Source organism: Homo sapiens, chromosome 1 (assembly GCF_000001405.40).
Source record: "Homo sapiens chromosome 1, GRCh38.p14 Primary Assembly".
In the NCBI taxonomy this organism is placed as follows: Eukaryota; Metazoa; Chordata; class Mammalia; order Primates; family Hominidae; genus Homo; species Homo sapiens.
The window spans coordinates 174,659,756-174,683,742 of NC_000001.11; the positions used below are offsets into that span (position 1 = coordinate 174,659,756).

Sequence of the window (23,987 nt, forward strand, 5' to 3'; positions counted from 1 at the left end):
TACAGCCTATGTAAAACAGAATGTTTGATCTTTCTCACAAAAGCTGCTCACCCGTAGTTTTTTTTTCCCATCTCAGCTAACAGTAACTCCATTCTTTCAATTCTTCAGTCTACAAACATTGAATCATCCTTGCTGCTAGTTTCTTCCTCTTACACTACATGTTGAGTAGGTAATACCTGTTGTCTACCACCAGAACAGCAATCCCAGGATATTAACCCACAACACGGTTTGCAGGTATTAGGGTTGCCAAGAAAAACATGACTCACAGAGGCACTGGATGGAACAACACTGTACTCACATACAGAAGAGACAGAACAACAGTATCAGTAATAAGTGTCAGTGGATCTTGTCTCACAGCCATGGCAGGGAATGATCTGTATACACCCCTTTTGTGCTGCAAGTGAAGGACCTTGTTCGCTCTCCACCAGGGACAGAAATAGCAGTGGGGTAAGCCAGGCGCCATATGACACACACTTAAGCAGAACAAAGAAGTATAAATCAAACTCAGAAGAGGGAAAGAAATTCCTAAACAAGGTAATAATAAGCCCAGCACAGACTGTGAGGGCTCCTGTTCTTCATGTAAGAAACTATTCCAGGCCCAAGGCATATTCTTTTGCAACCATGGAATGGTCAACAGGTTGCACACGATTCCCTTGCCCAGCACCACACAACCAGTTTTTTAGGAAATCTTACTGACTCCACCTTCAAAACATAGCCAGAATCTTATTATTTCTTGCCACTTCACTGTAACTACCCTGGTCTAAACTAACATATCTCCTACCTGGTCACCTTGCTTCCAGTGGGTTTCTTTTTCATTTAGTATTAAAGCCTACATTCTTACGGTGATTTACCAGGCTGTAAACTCCACATATGACTATTCTCTCTATCATGCATTCTGTCCCAGCCACACTGCCAGCCTTGCTCACACTTCAGAGCCCTTGCCCTGGCTGTTCTCTCTGCCTGGAACACTTATCCAAGAAATCTACATGGCTTGTTTTTTAACCTCTCTGAATCCCTTGCTCAAGTGTTACTTTCTTAATATGGCCTGCCTTAACCACTCTTTTAAATTGGAACCTCTTCTTAGCTCAGCATTCCTCAGCCCTTTTCTCTGCTTTGTCACCGTTGCACTTATTGCCTTCAAAGATACTATATACATTATTTATTTATTATGGCCATTGTCTATCATCTTCCACTAGAAAATAAGCTATATGAGAGCAATTTTTTGTCCATTTTATTCATTGCTTACCCTAGTCTTCCACATGATAGATAATAAATATGTGTTGCCTCAGGGAAAGAAATGAAAGTTTAGGGAAGTTAAGTGATTCTAGTAAATGGCAGAGCTGGAATTTGAGATGTTTGGCATTCAGAACTACTATTAGAAAACTTTTAAGTAAATTTTTTAACAAACAGTGATTTTAAAGTACTATCAACTAGTTACTGTTCTGGGCTGTATATTAAGGGGCCAATTTTGTGATCTAGGCTAATCTAAGAACCTCATAACCATATTGATTTTATAGGAAAATACATGCTGAGTTTGAAAGAAAAACTAGTAAAGAACTTTTAGAAAATGATCTGTTCATCACTGTGGACTACTTGTACTGAATACTAAAGGAGTAAGAAAACATGTAGTTGATAATGATTCTAAACGCTTGAGGAAAAAAGAACATGAGGAATATTGGGTACTGAAAAATTTTAATAAAAATATTTATTTAGAGTCAATTTTTTAAATGTAAAATTGTAGTCTGGGAATATACCTACATTAATATTTTACTGACTTAATTTTTCCAATGCTTGTGGGCCTTCCTAAAACTAATAATTCATTATTATAATCAATAGCAATTTCAGTTTTATTAATTAAAAATATTTTGTTATGATTTTTATAGGCTAATGCAGCAATAAACTCTTTTGGTTTAGTTTTGGATATGGCTGTGTGTGTGTGTCTAGTAAGATATACCATTATGCATCCTGTAACGACATTTCAGTCAACAATGGACTGCATTTACAATGGTGGTCCCATAAGATTATAATGGAGCTGAAAAACTCCTATCACCCAGTGACATCATAGCATCATAACATTATAGCGCAACACATTACTCACCTATTTGTGTTGATGCTGGTATAAAACCTACTGTGCTGCCAGGTGTATAAAGGTATATAGCATATACAATTATGTACAGTAAATAACACTTGATAAGGATAGTAAACAACTATATTACTAGTTTATGTGTTTACTATACTGTGCTTTTTAATTATTATTTTAGGATGTATTTCTTCTACTTATAAAATAACCATAAAACAGCCTGAGGTAGGTCGTTCAGGAGGTATCCAGAAGAAGGCTTTTCTTTTCTTTTTTTTTTTTTTTTTTTGAGTTGGAGTCTGGCTCTGTCGCCCAGGCTGTAGTGCAATGTCGCAGTCTCTGCTCACTGCAACCTCCGCCTCCTGGGTTCATGCAATTTTCCTGCCTCAACCTCCCAAGTAGCTGGGATTACAGATGTGTACCACCACGCCCAACTAATTTTTGTATTTGTAGTAGAGACGGGGTTTCACCATGTTAGTCAGGCTGATCTTGAACTCCTGACCTCAAGTGATCCATCCGCCTTGGCCTCCCAAAATGCTGGGATTACAGGCGTGAGCCACCGCGCCTGGCCTGGTTGTTTGTTTGTTTGTTTGTTTGTTTTTGAAACAGAGTCGCACTCTGTCGCCCAGGCTGGAGTGCAGTGGCGCAATCTCGGCTCACTGCAAAACTCCACCTCCCAGGCTCAAGTGATTATCTTGCCTCAGCCTCCCACCACCACACCTGGCTAATTTTTGTATTTTTAGTAGAGATGGGGTTTCACCATGTTGGCCAGGCTGGTCTCGAACTCCTGACCTCAAATGATCTGCCTGCCTTGGCCTCCCAAAGTGCTGGGATTACAGGCATTAGCCACTGTGCCCGGCCAAGAAGGCATTTTTACCACTGGAGATAACATCTCCATGCATATTTTTGTCCCTGAAGACCTTCAGTGGGACAAGATGTGAAGGTGGAAGATGGTGATATTGATGATTCCGACCCTGTATAGGCCTAGCCTAATGTGGGTGTTTGTGTCTTCATTTTAAATAAAACAGCTTAAAAAGTAAAAACAAATAAATGAAAAAATTTTAAGTAGAAAAATGTTATAGAACAAGGATATAAAGAAAGAAAATATTAAAATATTTCTGTATAGCTGTACAATGTAGTTTTAAGCAAAGTATTATTACAAAAGTTAACAGGTTTTAAAAATTAAAAATAAAGTTACAGTAAGCTAAGATTTTGTCATTGAAGAAAAATATTTTAAAATAAATTTATTGTAGCCTAAGCGTACAGTATTTATAAAGGCTGCATTAGTGTACAGTAATGTTCCAGACCTTCACATTCACCCACCTCTCACTCACTGACTCACCCAGAGCAACTTCCAGTCCTGCCAGCTGCATTCTCAGTAAGTGCCCTATACAGGTGTGCCATTTTTAATCTTTCATACCACATTTTTACTGTACCGTTTCTATGTTTAGACACTCAAATAATTATCATACTGTTGTATAAAACTATAGCACATACATGGTTTCTTGTAGCAGCCCAGTAAAGAATTGCCTACTATTCAGTCCATAAGACTAAATAGTATATACTGTAACATGCTGTACAAGTTTGTAGCTGAGAAGCAACGAGCTATACCATATAGCCTACATGTGTAATAAGCTGTATCACCTGAGTTTATGTAAGTACTCTCTATGATGTTTGCACAACAACAAAATTGCCTAATGACATGTTTCTTAGAACGTATTCCTGTCGTTAAGGAAGGGGAATGCCTGTGCATATATGTATATATACTCACATACACACACGTGGTTGATCCTCATTATTTACAGATTCTGTATTTGCAAATTCACCTACTTGCTTAAATTTATTTGTAACCACAAAATCAATATTCTCAATACTTTTATGGTTATTCACTGATATGTGAATATGCAGTGTCAAAAAATTTGAGTCACCTGATGCACACATTTCAAGTTCAGGTGGAACAAGTTGATGCTCTGCCTTCTTATTTCATCTCTCATACTGTAAACAAGTATTCTCCTGCTATATACTTATTGTCATGTGTTTTGCATTTTTGTGCTTCTTGATGATTTTTCTGTTTGAAATGTTCCCTAGGTGCAGTGCTGAAATGCTGTCTAGTGTTTCTAGGGACTCAGAGGCTGTGATGTGCCTTGCAAAAAAAATACACATTACGTAAGCTTCATTGAGGCATGAATTACAGTAATGTTGGCCATGAGTTCAATATTAATGAAACAACAATATATATTAAATAAGGTATCTTTAAACAGAAATACACTTAAAACAACTTTGTGTATTGATTAGTTGCTGAAAATGTTGTGACCAGGGGTTCTCAGGAGCCTAGCCGTCTATTATCCCCTAGGTGTAGTAATTCAGTGTTTGCTTATTCAGTGTTGGGGCACCTTTATAGAACATAAGTATTAAGAATGATGACAATTGACTATATATATTTGTACACAGTTTGCACAATTTGTGTACTTTGTACAATTATCCCCAAGAAGAATAGTTGTCATTTGTTAACTACTTCACTATTTGAATCTTACATTAACCTCCAATGAAGCCTTGAGATGTGTCTTCAATATATTTATATTCTGGAGAAATCACCCAAATTGAAATCTTAACACAAACCATTGAATGGATGATTACTAGTGAGTAATTTTCAAAATATTTTAACTAATTTTTTAAATTGTGTAATATACATTCAAATGAATAAAAATAATGTATTATTTGAAAAAGTAACAGAAGTAACATCCTTGAACCTACAACTTAGGAAATATTACCAATATTTTTTAATACCTTCCAGGTGCTCCTCTTAGATCTAGTCTTTCCCTACCAGAGTAAAACACTCTAGTGAATTTTGTGATTATGGTTCTTTCTCTCTCTCTCTCTTTCTTTCTTTCTTTCTGCTTTCTTTTTTTTTTTTTTTTTTTTTGACAGAGTTTTCACTCTTGTTGCCCAGGCTGGAGTGCAATGGTGTGATCTTGGCTCACCGCAACCTCTGCCTCCCGGGTTCAAGCGTTTCTCCTGCCTCAGCCTCCCAAGTAGCTGGGATTACAGGCATGTGCCACCACACCTGGCTAATTTTGTATTTTTAGTAGAGACAGGGTTTCTCCATGTTGGTCAGGCTGGTCTCAACCTCCCGACCTCAGGTGATCCGTTCGCCTCAGCTTCCCAAAGTGCTGGGATTACAGGCATGAGCCACTGCCCAGCCGACGATGGTTATTTCTCTACATTCTTTAAAGTCATTTTTCTGATTGGTTTATGAATAGTCATGAAATGCAGATTAAAAAGAAGAATTGGCATTTTATAGTTAGGTTTTATAGTCACTCACCTGAATGTCATGAGATCCAGAGACCAAATAGTGACAGTGGCTAAGTGCCTGGGCTCTGGAGCTGGACTGCCAGAGTTTGAATTCTAGCTCTGCTGCATTCTAACTGGAACAAATTATTTAACCTACCTTGAATAAATTATTTAATTTTTTAGTGCCTTAGTCTGCCTGCCTGCCTGCCTGCCTTCCTTCCTTCCTTCTTTTCCTTTCCTTCTTCCTTTTCTTTTCCTTTCCTTTCTTTCTTTCTTTTCTTTTCCTTTCTTGTCTGCCTCGCCTCGCCCCGCCCCGCCCCGCCCCGCCTCGCCTTGCCTCTTTCCTTTCCTTTCTTTCCTCTTGCTCTGTTGCCCATGCTGGAGTGCAGTGGCATGATCTCAGCTCACCGTAACCTCTGCCTCCTGGATTCAAGCAATTCTCCTGCCTTAGCCTCCCAAGTAGCTGGGATTATAGGCGTGCACCACTGTGCCCAGCTAATTTTGTATTTTTAGTAGAGACGGAGTTTTACCATGTTGGCCATGTTTGGCCAGGCTGGTCTTGAACTCCTGACCTCAGGTGATCCGCCTGCCTTGGCCTCCCAAAGTGCTGGGATTACTGGCGTGAGCCACTGTGCCCAGCCTTAGCTTCTTTATCTATAAAATTGAGGATAATAAGAGTACTTACTCCCAGAGGGGTGTTACAATTATTAAATAAATTAATATATGTAAATAAATGGAACAGTAGAGTAGTAGTAACTAATAAATAAATGTTAGTTATTTAACAGGTAGAGAAATTAATGCAAAGAATTCTTTGAAAGCCACTTGTATTCTTGCGTACTATATTAAGTAATCTTTCTTTAAATGTTTCTGTAATTTCTTTTAAACAACTAGTATCATGATTTTTGTCACTCTGTGACCTCTTTTTATTCAGCTAATTGTGGGACTACTGAAAATTAGGCTTTCCTTGGTATCTCTTTGTGTCTCCCAGCTTATGTGAGAACAGATCTCTTCTTAGTTTGCAAATAAATTTATTCCACATATTTTTTACTTGGTTGTTCCCCTGACATACTCATTTAAGGGCTACTGCTGCCAAAAATGATAATCCAAAGGCTAATTTATGTGTTTTAGCCTCATGTTGGTAGAAGTTCTTTGTAGGTTATAGATGAAACAGTTTGTCTAATAAATGGCAAATTGCTATTACGTAAATATCAAGCTCCTGTTTAAGTAAAAAGGAGGTCTGTGTTAGTGTTGTCTCTTCTCAGCGTTGCTATTCAATCTGTACTGAAAAAATCGTGACAGTTCAATATTTACATTAGAAATTGGAGAAACATGTGTCAGAGTTAAAACTGATGAACTTTGCCACTGTTTATCAATAGCAAGTAAACTGGCAAATATGTCAGTATGTTAGCAGTACCAAGAAGCTAAATGGGAATATTTTAGAAGTTTGACCCATTGTTGCACTCTCACATGGCAGCCTCTTTATCTTGTTAGAGAACATCCTTTGATTTCCCTTTTCATTCTTTCTGTGAGTCTGAGCTTTCCTTTTTACCTATAAATGTGCTTATCTTATCAAATAGTACTGCATGTTGCCCATTCCTGGGACAAAAGAGAAATACCATCCTGTATTTCTTATAGCAACCCAGGTAAGGTTTGTGTGTGAGGGAGCATTTTGGAGAAAAGAGAATTGTAAATAAATGGGTATAATCTAGTTGGAAAACTAAAAACTTTCTTTAATAATTTTAAGGTAGGTCAAGAGCAGTAGTAGTCATTGTGTATTTCAGGTTAACCAAGAAACTCCTACTGCCCTGTGAAAATTTATTTTCAATGTTAGCATTCCTATCAATGGATAACAGTTACAAGGCAAAAAAAAAAAAAAAAAGTCAAGTATTTTCCATATTTATTTTATTAAGGAGAACTTACATTATGTATAAATGTTAGCACCAGAAATATTAAGCCTATCAACTCTCTGTGTTTCCTAAGTTTTATCCTGTGGTCAGCATGATAATTAATATGTTACATAATGAAATTAAAAGTCCTCCTTTCTAAGCCCAGAAGACAGAAAATGAAAAGGATTAAGCCTCCCTTGATCAGATTGTTATTTTTCCTTTTGAGGATAGGATATCCTCCATCTCTATTGAAACCCAAGGCAAATCAGAACATAGGTACCCCCATCTCCATGGACACAAACACAAATATCTAAGAAGCATAATTCAACAGAGAGAGAATCTAAGTGATATAATGAAGGTAATAAGGGTATGGGCTTTATGTTGGAACAGACTTGGGTTCAAATGGTGATTCTACCATTTATTAGCTATATGACCTTGCCCAAGTTAGGTACCTTCCCTAAACCTATTTGCATCTCATAGGACTTGTGAGATTAAATGAGAACATAGAAAAGAACTTAGCATTCCATCTGGCACATAATAAATATGTCAAGTTCTTTCATGCCTTTGTACATGCCCTTTTTTCTGCAGCATGCCTGAATAATTTCTATAGTCTTCCTTCAAAAACAGGTGGTCAAGTTTGCAGCACTTCTGGTCATGCCATCTTCTATGAAATTAAGACAACATCACCTTGTCTGTGATGCCTTCCTTGCCTTTAACTCTATTTCCTGTGCTATGACCTGGTTATTTACTCTTTCTCTCTGAGCTTCCATGTATCTTCTATATATCTCTCACTGTGCACTATTTCATTGTACATGTTGACCTCCTCCACAGGGCTAAATGCTGGGGAGCATGGACTATGTCTTTTCAACTTTGTATATGCCTTACTAAGCACAGTGTTTGATATACGATAGGTGCTCAGTAAATACTCAATTGCTGAGTGAAGGTATATTACTCTTGGGAGCACAGGCAGAAAAGTAGTCTGTAGTCCAGAGCAGGAGGAGGGACTGGGTACAACCAAAGATTTTTTTCCCCAAAACTGTTATTATGAAAATTTTCAAATATACAAAATAATTGAAAGAATTACAAGGTAAACATCCAAAAACCTGCCACCTAGATTCTAGAATTAGCATTTTGTGAGAATATACTATATTGCCATTAATTGTAGGCATCATGCTGTACAGTAGACCTGTTAGCTTATTCCACCTATCTAACTATAATTATGTATCCTTTGACCAACATCTCAGCACTCCCTTCCTCCTGACCACCACAGCCTCTGGTGACCACCATTCTACTTTCTAATTCAATGAGGTCAACTTTTTTTTAGGGTCTGCATATGAGTAAGATCATGTGGTATTTGTTTTTCTATGCCTGGCATACTTCCCTTAATGTAATATCTTTTAGTTTCATCCATGTTGTTGAAAATGACAGGATTGTCTTTTTTATGGCTGAGTAGTATTCCATTGTATATATATACACCACATTTTCTTTATCCATTGATCTGCTGTTAGACTCTTAGGTTGATTCTGTATCTTGGCTATTGGGAATAGTGTTATAATAAACATGGGAGTGCAGCTCTCTCTTTAGTATATTGATTTAATTTCTTTTGTATATATACCCAGTAGTGGGATTGTTGGATCATATGGTAGTTCGAATTTTAATTTTTTGAGGAACATTCATACTGTTTTGAATATGGTTTTACTAATTTACGTTCCCACCAACAACGTGCAAGGGTTTCTTTTTCTCCACATTCTTGCCAACAGTTGTTATCTTTTGTCTTTTGATAATAGCTATTCTAACAGGAGTTAGGTGATATCTCATTGTGGTTTTGATTTGCATTTCCAGGACAATTAGTGACACATTTTTTCATATTCCTGTTGGCCATTTGTACGTCTTCTTTTAAGGCATGTCTATTCACATCTTTTGCTCATTTTAAATTGGGTTGTTTGTTTTCTTGCTATTGATTTGAGTTCCTCATATAATTTTCATTGTTAACCCCTCATCAGATGTTTTATTAGTTCGTTTTCACACTGCTATAAAGAACTGCCTGAGACTGGGTAATTTATAAAGGAAAGAGGTTTAATTGACTCACAGTTCAGCATGGTGGGGAGGTGTCAGGAAATTTACAGTCATGGTGGAAGGCAAAGGGGAAGCAAGGCACCTTCTTCACAGGGCGGCAAGAAGGAGAATGAATGCAGGAGGAACTACCAAACACTTATAAAACTATCAGTTCTCATGAGAACTCACTCACTATCATGAGAAAAGCATGGGGGAAACCGCTTCCCTGATTCAGTTACCTTCACCTGGTCTCTCCCTTGGCACGTGGGGATTTTGGGGATTGCAATTCAAGATGAGATTTTAGGTGGGGACACAGCCAAATCATATTAGATGTATAGTTTGCAAATAATTTATCCCATTTTGTAGGTTGTCTCTTCACTCTGTTGGTTGTTTTCTTTGCTATGCAGAAGCTTTTTAGTTTGATGCAATCACATTTGTCTATTTTTACTTTTGTTGTCTGTGCCTTTGAAGTCATATCCAAAAAATCATTGCCCAGACCAATGTCCTTGAGCGTTTTCTCTTTATTTTCTTCTGGTAGTTTCATAGTTTCAAGTCTTAACATCTTTAATCCATTTAGAGTTTATTTTTGCAAATGGTGAGAGATAAGGGTCTAGCTTTATTATTCTGCATGTGGATATGCAGTCTTCTCAGAACCATGTATTGAAGAGACTGTTCTTTCCACATTGTATGTTCTTAGTACCTTTGTTGAAAATCAGTTGGCTGTAAATGTGTGAATTTATTTCCAGGCCCTCTATTCTGTTTCTTGGGTCTAGCTTTCTGTTTTTATGCCAATCCCATGCTGTTTGGGTTACTATAGCTTTGTAGTGTATTTTGAAGCCAAGTCATGTGATGCTTCCAGCTTTGTTCTTTTTGCTGAAGATTGTTTTGGCTATTCAAGGTCTTTTGTGGTTCAATATAAATCTTAAAGATTTATTTTTCTATTTTTGTAAATAATGTCATTGGTATTTTTATGGGGATTCCATTGAATACATGGGTCACTTTGGACTATATGGGCATTTTAACAATATTAATTTTTTCAGTCCATGAACATGGGATATCTTTCCATTTATTTGTGTCTTCAATTTATTTCATCAATATATTACAGTTTTTAATATACAGATCTTTCACTTCCTTGGTTAAATTTATTCCTAAATGTTTTTATAGCTACTTTATTTTTTATTTTTTATTTTTAAATTTTGTGGGTACATAGTGGGTGTATATATTTATGGGATACATGAGATGTTTTGATGTGGGCATGCAATATGAAATAATCACATCATGGAGAATGGGGTATTCATGCTCAGAAGCATTTATACTTTGTGTTGTAAACAATCCAATTACACCCTTTTAGTTATTTTAAAATGTACAGTTAAGTTATTATTAACTATAGTCACCCTGTTATGCTATCAAATAGTAGGTCTTACTCATTCTTTCTTCTTTTTTTCCGATTAATCATCCCCACCTTTTCTCTGCATTCTCCCAACAACTACCCTTTTCAGCCTCTGGTAACCATCCTTCTATTCTGTATGTCCATGAATTCAGTTGTTTTGATTTTTAGATATCACAAATAAGTGAGAAAATGTGATGTTTGTCTTTCTGTGCCTGGCTTATTTCACTTAACATAATGATCTCCAGTTCCATCCATGTTGTTGCAATTGATAGGATATTTTTTAAGGCTGAATAGTACTCCATTGTTTATGTGTACCACATATTCTTTTTCCATTCATCTGTTGATGGACTCTGTGTTGCTTCCAAGTCTTGGCTAATATGAACAGTGCTATAACAAACATGGTAGTGCAGATATCTCTTCAATATACTCATTTCCTTTCTTTTGGTTATACCTAGCAATGGGATTGCTGGATCATATGGTAGTTCCATTTTTAGTGTTTTGAGGAGCCTCCAAACAGTTCTCCATAGTGGTTGTACTAATTTACGTTCCCACCAACAGTGTATAAAGGTACCCTTTTCTCCACATTCTTGCCAGCATTTGTTATTGCCTGTCTTTCAGATATAAACCTGTAGATGTTTTAAATGGAATTGTTTTCATGATTCTTTTTTCAAATAGTTCACCGTTAGTGCATAGAAATGCTACTAACACACTTTTATAAGTTGATTTTGTATTCTGCAACTTTACTAAATTCATTTATTAGTTCTAAGATTTTTGGTACAGTCTTTAGGGTTTTCCATATATAAAATGATGTCAACTGCAGACAGGGACAATTCGGTTTCTTCCTTTCCAATTTGGATGCCTTTTATTTCTTTCTTTTGCCAAATTTCTCTGGCTAAGACTTCCAGTACTGTGTTGAATAGAAGTGAGAATGGACATCCATATCTTGTTCCAGTTCAGCTTTTCCTCATTCAGCATGATGTTAGCTATGGGTTTGTCATATATGGCCATTACTGTTTTGAGGTACATTTCTTTTACATCTAATTTGAGAGTTTTAAATCATGAAGTGATGTGGAATTTTGTCAAATGATTTTAATGCATTTATTGAAATGACTTTGACTTTTATCATTTCTTCTTCTAATGTGATGTATCACATTTATTGATTTACATATAGTGAATCATCCTTGCATCCCTGGGATTAATTACTTGATTGTGGTTGATGATCTTTTCGATGTGGTGTTCTATTTGGCTTATTAGTATTTTGTTGAGGATATTTGCATGTATGTTCATCATAGATGTTGGCCTGTAGTTTTCTTTTTTTGTTGTACCTTTGTCTGGTTTTGGTATCAGAGTAATGCTGGTCTAGCAGAATGAGTTTGGAAGTAATTCTTCCTCTTCAATTATTTGGAAGAGTTTGAGAAGAATTGGTGTTAGTGTTTTAAATATTTGGTAGAATTCAGCTATATTTTTAAATATTTGGTAGTTTTTTAACTATCTGGCTTTTTGTTGATAGGAGACTTTTTATTACTGATTCAGTCGTCTCCTTACTCATCTACATGAAGAAATAGATGAGTAAGGAGACTGAATCAGTAATATTTCATCCTTGATCAGTTGCATATGTACACAGATTTATCCATTCTAAGTTATCTAATTCGTTGGCATATAATTGTTCATAATAATTTCTTATGATCCTTTAATTTCTGTAGTATCAGTTGTAATGTCTCCTTTTTTATCTCTGATTTTGAGTCTTCTCTCACTTTTTCTTAGTCTAGGTGTTTATTTTATGTTTTCAAATGAACAACTCATTTCATTGATTTTTTTTTTCCTTTCTTTTTTTTTTTTTTTTTGATATGGAGTCTCCCTTTGTCACCCAGGCTGGAGTGCAGTGGCTCAATCTCTGCTCACTGCAACCTCTGCCTCCCGGGTTCAAGCGATTCTCCTGCCTCAGCCTCCTGAGTAGCTGGGATTACAGGTTTTTGTTTGTTTTGTTTTGTTTTTACTTTCCATTCCATTTATTTTTGGTCTGATCTTTATTTTCTTTCTTCTGCTAATTTTGGGCTGAGTTTGTCTTTGTTTTTCTAATTCTTTGAGATCCAAGATTAGGTTTTTTATTTGCAACCTGTCTTCTTTGTAGGCATTTATTGCTGTAATTTTCCCTCTCAAACTGCTTTTGCTGCATCCCATAGGTTTTGGTATGTTGTATTTTCATTTTCATTTTTCTCAAAAAAATTTTAAATTTTATTTATAATTTTTTCATTGACTTATTGATTGTTCAGGAGCATGCTGTTTAATTTCCATGTACATGTGAATTTTTAAACGTTCCTCCTGTTACTGATTTCTAGTTTTATACTACGGTTGGAGATTTACAGTTTTAAGGAATCCTGCACTTAGACATCTTTCATGGGAAAGGGGAAGCCTTGAGAATATACTTATCATTCATGTAACATGCTTTGTCATGAACAAATCTCAGAGTTCCTAGTTCATGGAAAAGGAACATACAGGCTACTGTATTCAGGAATATTCCAAATAGGGATAGGATTCGAACTTTTCCATAATTTCTTTCCTTTTTTCTTTCTGTATTCTCTCTTTATCCTACTTCCAACCCCTAATACATACACACATAAGAGTGTATGAGGGTTCCCTTTCCTCCACATCCATGAGCTCACATACACCCATAGCTCTAGATAAAAGTACAAATTAAGCAATCAAATATAACTATATAAATTAAATAAAATTAAATAAGTAAAAGGATACTAATTGATCTTTCAAGATTAGGCAGAGGTCTGGAAACTGATGATAATGAAGAAAAGGTCATTTCACATTCATTAGATAACGATTCCCATGATCTAATTTTTCTCTCATTTGAACAGAGAGTGATAATATCATTAGCAGAAAAAGTTAAAGGAGAACAATGGACCATAATATGATTTTTTTTTAGACTGAGTGATTGCCTTTCTATTTACTAAAAGATCTGAAAGAGTTTACAAAATTAAAACACATGTAAAAATAGATAAACGCAGTGACCAAGATGCTATCAGGTACCTGAGATGAGCTATTTTCTACAGTTGAGTAACGAATTTGATTATTAATTTCTGCTAATGAAAGCAAAAAGAAAATGCTAAATTACATATTTCTCTTCTTAATGCATTCTTTTTAAAAAATAAGGTCACAATTTTTTTTATTTTTCAGGCATAGAATTGGAAAAACATAACCAGAGATACATGGTTATACTAGGTATGGGAATTTGGAGTAATATTGTAGACAGTGACTTCATTGTGCTTTTATAAAAGATGCATATGTGGTACCTAAATCAAAATTCTTATATGGACTGGGGTTCTAGAGTTGAGCATGCTGAAGTCTGAAAGGCTGAATATGTAATGTCAAATGCTAACTCAATAAAGATAGTTCTGTGGAATATGGTACTTTGCTACCTCATTATTTAGCTTCACACAGAGATAATATTTAAAGAATGTAGAAGTATTTGTCATCAATAAATCCCATAGTATGTCTTCCTCAAGGAAAATGAGCAAAGGATGACTTTTACTGCATATAAATTATACCTCCATAAACATGATTTGTAATAAAATAAATTGTTTTTGAGTGTTCAGAGTTTTTTTTTTTCTTTTTTTTTTCTTTTTTTAAAATTATTATTATACTTTAAGTTTTAGGGTACATGTGCACAATGTACAGGTTAGTTACATATGTATACATGTGCCATGCTGGTGTGCTGCACCCATTAACTCGTCATTTAGCATTAGGTGTATCTCCTAATGCTATCCTTCCCCCCTCCCCCCACCCCACAACAGTCCCCAGAGTGTGATGTTCCCCTTCCTGTGTCCATGTGTTCTCATTGTTCAATTCCCATCTATGAGTGGAACATGTGGTGTTTGGTTTTTTGTCCTTGCGATAGTTTACTGAGAATGATGATTTCCAATTTCATCCATGTCCCTACAAAGGGCATGAACTCATCATTTTTTATGGCTGCATAGTATTCCATGGTGTATATGTGCCACATTTTCTTAATCCAGTCTATCATTATTGGACATTTGGGTTGGTTCCAAGTCTTTGCTATTGTGAATAGTGCCGCAATAAACATACGTGTGCACGTGTCTTTATAGCAGCATGATTTATAGTCATTTGGGTATATACCCAGTAATGGGATGGCTGGGTCAAATGGTATTTCTAGTTCTAGATCCCTGAGGAATCGCCACACTGACTTCCACAATGGTTGAACTAGTTTACAGTCCCACCAACAGTGTAAAAGTGTTCCTATTTCTCCACATCCTCTCCAGCACCTGTTGTTTCCTAACTTTTTAATGATCGCCATTCTAACTGGTTTGAGATGGTATCTCATTGTGGTTTTGATTTGCATTTCTCTGATGGCCAGTGATGATGAGCATGTTTTCATGTGTCTGTTGGCTGCATAAATGTCTTCTTTTGAGAAGTGTCTGTTCATGTCCTTCACCCACTTTTTGATGGGGTTGTTTGTTTTTTACTTGTAAATTTGTTTGAGTTCATTGTAGATTCTGGATATTAGCCCTTTGTCAGATGAGTAGGTTGCAAAAATTTTCTCCCATTTTGTAGGTTGCCTGTTCACTCTGATGGTAGTTTCTTTTGCTGTGCAGAAGCTCTTTAGTTTAATTAGATCCCATTTGTCAATTTTGGCTTTTGTTGCCATTGCTTTTGGTGTTTTAGACATGAAGTCTTTGCCCATGCCTATGACCTGAATGGTAATGCCTAGGTTTTCTTCTAGGGTTTTTATGGTTTTAGGTCTAACATTTAAGTCTTTAATCCATCTTGAATTAATTTTTGTATAAGGTGTAAGGAAGGGATCCAGTTTCAGCTTTCTGCATATGGCTAGCCAGTTTTCCCAGCACCATTTATTAAATAGGGAATCCTTTCCCCATTGCTTGTTTTTCTCAGATTTGTCAAAGATCAGATAGTTGTAGATATGTGGCGTTATTTCTGAGGGCTCTGTTCTGTTCCATTGATCTATATCTCTGTTTTGGTACCAGTACCATGCTGTTTTGGTTACTGTAGCCTTGTAGTATAGTTTGAAGTCAGGTAGCGTGATGCCTCCAGCTTTGTTCTTTTGGCTTAGGATTGACTTGGCGATGCGGGCTCTTTTTTGGTTCCATATGAACTTTAAAGTAGTTTTTTCCAATTCTGTGAAGAAAGTCATTGGTAGCTTGATGGGGATGGCATTGAATCTATAAATTACCTTGGGTTTTTAATAGCTGAAAGACTGCATTGCCATTACCTGGTTCTTAGATGTCATGGAATCTATGTGATTCAGGCCACGTGCTGAATTATAACCCAAACATAGTGGTACTTAAAAGCCCCTGTAGCTCTCATGCTTCTCCTAATAGAAGCTTTTGGCTGAAACAAGAAACGTTTTTGAAAGAAGCATATTGTCATTATCCTTTTGTGAAATTTTAATAGCCAGATTTGTATTCTTATTCATATGTAACAAAAACCTTGCTAGCACAGTGGTGATAACAGAGGTACCTGCAAGTAAAACTGAGGGTTTTTTTTTTGAAGTAAAAGAAAGAAAAAGCAGCTTTGAAGCAGGTACTTACACAAATACTACCTTGATTTACCACATATCTGTAATGGATGGCCTGGGAGTAGTGACTGCAGCCTGAAAAGTAATTTAGGGCATGGGGTATTAACTGATGACCTTATCCATAAAATATTTTAGTTATCCTGTGGAAGTTCTGATTTTAGTTGACAAAACAGAAGCTTCTATAGACCTGTATATTGTTGAGACTACATATATTATTCTAAGAAGGCTTTTGAATAGATTTGCTGAGTGTAGTTGATGAAGATGGCCCTTTTAAATATTAGGGAATTCATACTAGATTTACTGTTTCAGTTTTTTCATTACAGATTTTGAGAGGCTTCTCCTGGTAGTAAAATGTCAGATGAAACTGTTACTGTAGAATTCACTAGGTTACTGATTCAGTTTGTGAGTATTAGAAAATGTTCTTCCATAGAGATTTTAAATAGTTTTTGTGACAAAGCAAAAACAAAGCAAACTGAAGTTTTCCCTGGATTGAAGCAGCCGATCAAATATTTTAACGTTTGGAGTTTCAACTTCTAAGTGAAAAGATTCCTGATTTTAAAATATAAAAGGATTATTTGAGAAGCACGTACTTTGTGTATGAATGAAGAAATGTATCTATTTTCCAATGAAAGTTTATATTTTGGTGACTGCTTCTACTGAAGTGATAGCATGGTCAGTAGTATTCCAACATCTTTGGATACTGTTAGCTTCAGCCATCATATGGTTTGATTAATTGAACTGGTGTAATAGATTAATAGATATGGTGGTATCTATACTAATCTGATTTTCTTTTTTATGTTACATAAAATAGAATTTTTCCTTCCTTCCTTCCTCTTTCCTCTCATAATTTGAACAGATACTGGATTCAAAAAATTTATGATAGCTTAAACCCCAGGGATATCATTTTCTAAAGGAGTCATCTGTAGATGGTTTATGTTAAAGTTGGACAAATGGATAGAACATCAAGATTTTAATATTTGTTTCCACATTTGTCCCACTTACGGCATAAGTATCAGGGAAGTGGCCAGATGGGGTGGCTCATGCGTGTAATCCAAGCACTCTGGATGGCTGAGGCAGAAGGAACACTTGAATTCAGGAATTTGAGACCAGTCTAGGCAACATAGTGAGACCCCATCTCTACCAAAAAAAAAAAAATTATCCGTGCATGGTGGCATGTGCCTGTAGCCCCAGCTATTTGGGAGGCTAAGGTGGGAGAATCTTTTGAGCCTGGGAGGTGGAGGCTTCAGTGAGCCGACAGAGGGAGACCTGTCTCAAAACAAACAAACAAGAATCAGGGAAGATACATATTCATTTGCTTTTAGAACTTATAATAAACCATTGATAACAACTCAAGGATTAATTAGGCCTAACATTTGAGTGTATGTATAGCATAACACCTCTGTTACAAATTACTGGAGGCATTTGTGAATTATCTAGTTAATTTCATCTGAAGAAAGAGACCTAAAAAGGAAGCTGGGGTAGACCTGCTTTTGCCATGTACCCCACTTCATTTCTTATGGCTAAGGTTGTTCCACAGTGGTCCTAGTTTCGAACCTTTGCCTTGGTAGCATAACCCCAAATTTTTCTGAGGCTATAGCCTTGGAGTTGGAATTGCCTAGATCTTCACAGAAACTATTGTGCTGAACTCTATTGGGTTGACAGAGAGCTGGGTATATACCACCCCACTCACCTATCATATTTGGGGATGATGACAGTTGGCAAGGATTGGCACCATTATCAGTATCTTTAAAAGGTATCAAGAAATTACTGGCAAGTTTATAGCTTTAAATGCCTATATTAGAAAAGAAGATAGATCTAAGTTTCTATCTTAACAAGCTAGAAAATGAAGAGCAAATTAAAACCTAGATAAATAGATGGAAATAAATAATAAAGAACAGAAATAAATGAAATAGAAAATGTATTTAAAAAAGAAAAAGATAAAACCAAAAGCCAGATCTTTGAAAAGATTAATAAAATTAATAAATCCTTACCAAGACTAATCAAGGAAAAGAGAAAATATAAGTTTAAACTTTTATGTATGAAAGAGGATAAATCATATACAGATATTAAAAAGTCAATTAGGGACTATTATGAACGAATTTATGTCAGTAACCTTAACAATTTACATACAAAAGAGCATTTTTTGAAAAACACAAATTATTTAAATTGAAACAAAAAGAAAATGAAAATACGGATAGCTCTATTTCCACTAAAGAAATTTAATTCATAATAAAAACCTTTCCAAGGAGAATACTCTAGGCCCAGATGGTTAAAGAAGAATTAATACCAGTCTTACGCAAAACTCTTTCAGAAGCAGAGTGACAGAGAACACTGACACACTTGTTTTATAAGGCCAGCATAACCCTATACCAAAATGTGTCAGGCATTACCAAAGAAGTTACAGACCAGTATTCCTCATAAAATATTCTCAAAAAACCCCCACAAAACAAAACAAAAAAAAAAGAGTAACAAACTTAATACGGTAATATAAAGGATAATAACTCTTGACCCATATATACAAGGTTGGTCCAGCATTTGAAAATCGATATATTTTAACCACATTAACCGAATAAAGAGAAAGTAATATGATCATTATGTTACTGGTGGGTATTTGTTCTTAGAGTTCCCAAGATGGTGGCGGGCTGCTTCCAAGATGGTGGCAAGCCTCTTGTTCTCTGACCTGGGGTTCTTGGCCTCACGGCTTCCAAGAAATGGAATTTTGGGCCATGTGGTGATTGTTATAGCTCTATTCAGCTCCATTAGAATGAACCCCAGGCACTTAGCCTGCACAGGAACAATGGCGAGCCTCTAGCCCAATTGGGAGCGGCAGTGGGCGCCACCTCACTGGATCAGGAGCACAGCAGACACCTGCCCTATCCGGAGGGATGGAAGTCAGCAGTGGGTGTGCGACAGTGGCAAACAGCAGTGGTGGATGGCAAGCGAAAGCTCAGCTTGAGCCCTAACAAACACAGACCAGAAGAGTGTGCAGTTGCAAGATTTAAGAGAGTGAAAACAGAGCTCCCATGAAGTGGGAGGGGACCCAAAGGGGCTTTCCATTGCCTGCTCAAATGCCTGGGTTTATATCCCGATCATTGTCCCTCCTCCTGTTCTCTCAGGCGATAGATGATTGGCTATTTCTTTACCTCCTGTTTTTGCCTAATTAGCATTTTAGTGAGCTCTCTTTACTACCTGATTGGTCGGGTGTGCGGGTGTGAGCTAAGCTGCAAGCCCCGTGTTTAAAGGTGGATGCAGTCACCTTCCCAGCTAGGCTTAGGGATTCTTAGTCAGCCTAGGAAATCCAGCTAGCACTGTCTCTCAATTGCAATAGACGCATGAAAGGCATTTTATAAATTCAGTACCCATAGAAGATAAAACATGCTCAGCAACGTAAGAATAGAGAGAAACTTCTAAACCTAATGAAGGATATCTATGGAAAATCTGTAGCTAACATTATACTTCATGGTGAAAGACAATGTTTGACTTCTAAGATCTGGAAGAAGACAAAGATGTCCTTCCTCTTTGAGCACTTATATTCACCATTGTATTGGAATACAGTGTAATATAGTACTGGAGTCAGTGCAGTAGGGCAAGAAAAGAAGGCATATGGCCAAAGGAAGTAAAACTAACATTCACAAACAACATGGTTATGCATGTAGAAAATCCTAAGAAATAATAAATGGAGAGAGATATATCAGGTTCATGACTGTTAGACTCTATATTGTGAAGATACCATTCTCCAAATTTACTTATAGATTCAACACAATCCCAGTCAAAATCACGGTAGGCATTTCTGGGAAGACAGTAAATTAATTCCTAAATTTATATGGAAATGCAAGGAATCTAGAATAAACTCTTTTGCAAAAGATCTAAGTTGTAGAACATAGACTTACCAGGTTTTTAAAACTTCTTATTTCAAAGTGGATTACAGACCTAAATGTAAATGCCAAAACAAAAAAACTTCTAAAGAAAACATGGGAAAAAATATTCATGACACAAAAACAGGGCATGTACAAACACAAATATGAACCATAAAAGACAAAAACTATTAAACTGAACTTTTTCAAAATTGAAACTTGCTCTTTGAAAAACAGCATTAAGAAAATGAAAATGCAAGCCATAGACTGGGAAAACATATTTGTAATATGCATGTCTGACAGTGGACTTGGCAATGGTCCCATTGTTTGTGTCCCCTCAAAATTCATATGTTGAAATGCTAACCACCAAGGTGATACTATTAAGAGATGGAGCCTTTGGTAGGTGATTGCATCATGAGGGCGGAGCCCTCATGAATTGGATTAGTGCTTTAATAAAAGAGGCCGGAAGGATCTTGTTTGCCCCTTCCACTATGTGAGGAGACAATGAAAAGGCACAATTTCTGTGAACCAGGAAACCGACCCTCATCAGACTGAATTGGTTGGTGCCTTGATCTTGGATTTTGTAGCCTCCAAAACTGTGAGAACTAAACTTCTTTTGTTTATAAGCTAATTAGTCTGTGGTATTCTGGTTATAGCATCCAGAATGGACTCAGACAGAGTTGTATACAGAGCATATACAGAATGAAGAACTCGTAGGAACCAACAATAATGAGATGAACAACTCAATTAAACAATTGGGCAGGCTGTAATCCCAGCACTTTGGAAGGCTGAGGTGGGCGGATCACTTGAGCCTAGGAGCTCCAGACCTGGGCAACATGGCAAAACCCCATCCCTACTAAAAATAGAAAAAAACTTAGCTGGGTGTGGTGGGGCAGCCTGTAGTCCCAGCTACTCAGGAGGCTGAGGTGGGTCGATCGCTTCAGCCTGGGAGGCAGAGGCTGTAGTGATCATGCCACCGCACACCAGCCTGGGTGTCAGAGCCAGACCCTGCCTCCAAAAAAAACAAAAAACAAAAATCAGCAACACATAATTGGGCAGGAACTTGAACAATCACAAAAGAATATGTATCAATTGTCTAAAAGTACATGAAAACATTTTCTATACCATTAGCCACCAGGGAAATGAAAGTCAAAACTACAGGAATTAATTAAAAGGAAAAAGACTGACAGTATCAAGTATTGACAAGGAAGTGAAGCAAGGGGTGCTCTCATATGTTGCTGCTAGGGGTGTAATAATTGTATAACCACTTTGGGAAACAATTTGGCAATTTCTTATAAAGATAAACTTACATTTAACATTTGAAGTTTGAACCTCCATTCCTAGGTATTTATTCAAGGAAAATGAAAATCTGTATCCACAAACGCTGTGTATATATTTACAGCTCTATTCATACTAGCTGAAAGCTGGAAACAGAGGAATGAATAAACAGATCATGGTATATTCATACAGTATATATTCATGCTACTCAGCAATGAAAAGGAATGAACTACCGATGCACACAACAACATGAAAGAATCTCAGGAACGTTATGCTGAGTAAAAGAAGCTAGACACAAAAGACTACGTATTATATGAGTACATTATTGTATGATTCCATCTATATGAAATTTTTTTAAATGAAAAACTAATATATTGTGATAAAATTCAGATCTGTGGTTGCCTGGAGTGGAGGTGTTTGACCAAAGAGAGGCATGGGGGAACATTCTGGAGTGATGGAAATATTTATAATGGCAGGGCTACATAAATGCCCCAGCTCAAGGAACTGTACAATTAAAATGTATGCCTTTCACTGAGTATAAACCATACATCAATAAAGTTTATGTTTTTGAGTAAAAGGGAGTTCCAGACTCTGTGCTCTGACAACTTTGGCACATGGGGAATACTACACTTACTCTCCATAGGTTAAGCCTTCCTAGTTATCTTTGATAAGCCTTGTCCTAGACAGAGACAATTTTTATACTGACAAAATCAAAATACATTCTATTAAATTAAATGGAAATCTCCTCACTAAAATGAAGTACAACACATAGATGGAATACATGGGATGAGATACATATCCTGGATTTCAGTAGTATTCTTTGAGAGTCTTTTAAAAATATATTTGGCAGGCCGGGCATGGTGGATTATGTCTGTAATCCTAGCACTTTGGGAGGCTGAGGTGAGAGGAACACCTGAGGTCAGCAGTTCAAGACCAGCCTGGCCAACATGGTGAAACCCTGTCTCTACTAAAACTATGAAAATTAGCTGGGTGTGGTGGTGGGCCCTTGTAATTGCAGCTACTCAGGGGGCTGAGGCAGGAAAATAGCTTGAACCTGGGAGGTGGAGGTTGCAGTGAGCTGAGATCGTGCCATTGCACTCCAGCCTGGGAGACAAAGCAAAACTCTCTCTCTCTCTCTCTCTCTCTCTATACATACATATATATATATACACACACACACACACACACACATACATCACAACAACTAAATTTTTAAAAAAATTCTAATTCAGGGTTCAGTGACTGGACCATGAAGCCTATTTTTGTACTGCCCCAATGTAAGAATGGTTTTACATTTTAAAAAGTTGTTTAAAAAAAAAAAAAAAGTCCTGTCCCTTAAGAAAAAACAAGCAACCAGTACTATAAGTGTTCCTCAAAGTCTACAATATTTACTATCCAAACTTTTACAGAAAAAGCTTTCTAACTCCTATTCTTTACCCTTTGATCTGCACACTCTACCTACTGTAACTGATTCAGCCTCAAAAACTAACATGTTGTCTTTTTGTTTGCATTAGAGAATCCTAGATGTTTGAAGTACTAATTAGTATACACTAAGCCTATGGCCTTATTTCCTTTGCTCTGAAAACTAAGAGGGAATGTTAAGTTGAATGATATGATAGCTACTTTCCAAGGAATGCTGTATTTCTTACGAATTGGCCTCTTTGGCTGTACTCCAGATGGCCTGGTTAGAATGACGTTAAAGCTGTGGAATAGCCAAAGCACTTGAAATATCAGTTATGTATGTAGCATGAGGCTGTCAGCCATTTTGCAAAAAGCATGGGACAATGCTAAATATTTCTGGTTTGCCCCAGTGGTATAGATTGGAGAACCATTTTTACTCTTCAGCCTTCATGGAAAATGGCAGGGTAGTTTAAAAGGTCTTTGAGAAGTTTTGGAGGTTCTAAAGGGGTTTTTTTTTTTTTTTTTTTTGGCATGGGGTTGTCAGAATAGCGGATTTGCACTTCTGTCTCAGCAATATCAAGATTTCCCCCTTTTAGTGCATTTGAACCCACACTTCAACCTTAGAATCTTCTTACTCTCTCCCACCCTTTGCCTCTGCCTCCTGTGGCCTCATACAGCTGATCTCAAACCATAATAGATCTTTTAATATTAACTTAGGTCCTCTGAGCATCTCTTTATTTCAAAATTTTAAAGATGAACCTGGGATAAAGGGACATAGAGCTGCTTTAGGAAATACACAGCCTCTTTGGGGATCTCACTGTGCTAGTGGTATACAGATTCAAGTTGAAAGACCAGTGGAATTGTGGTTGACAGCCCAGGGACAGGAACAAGCAGGAGCCTGGTATGAGCTAACATTTAAGTTAAAATCTGTGACTATTTACGATATTTCTTTCTTTTCATCTTTTCTCTAGGCCTACTCTGTGTATGATGAAGACATTGGGTACTGTCAAGGGCAGTCTTTTCTTGCTGCTGTATTACTGCTGCATGTAAGTAATGGTCCGTGTGATAAATAGCACAGTGCTGCCAAGTTTATTTTACTTTCTACTGGCTTTGTTCTTCCTTCTTATTTCCCATTTATCTGATGGAGATTACATATGGCATATCTTTTTTAAAATGTACGTTAGGTGATAAA

The 23,987-nt window shown here is 36.7% G+C and overlaps 1 protein-coding gene across 10 annotated transcripts in view; it reads left to right on the top strand.

The window, feature by feature from the left end:
• Positions 1–23,987, top strand: part of RABGAP1L (RAB GTPase activating protein 1 like) — an 835,789-nt gene that overhangs the window by 500,236 nt on the left and 311,566 nt on the right. For all 10 annotated transcript variants that reach the window (NR_158982.1, XM_011510223.3, XM_047436028.1 and 7 more), the window contains one exon: positions 23,767–23,841. Coding sequence is in view for 9 of the 10 variants with exons in the window: in XM_011510223.3 (XP_011508525.1) it covers positions 23,767–23,841 (75 nt within the window). In the remaining variant the exon portion in view is untranslated. The remainder of the gene's footprint in view (positions 1–23,766; positions 23,842–23,987) is intronic.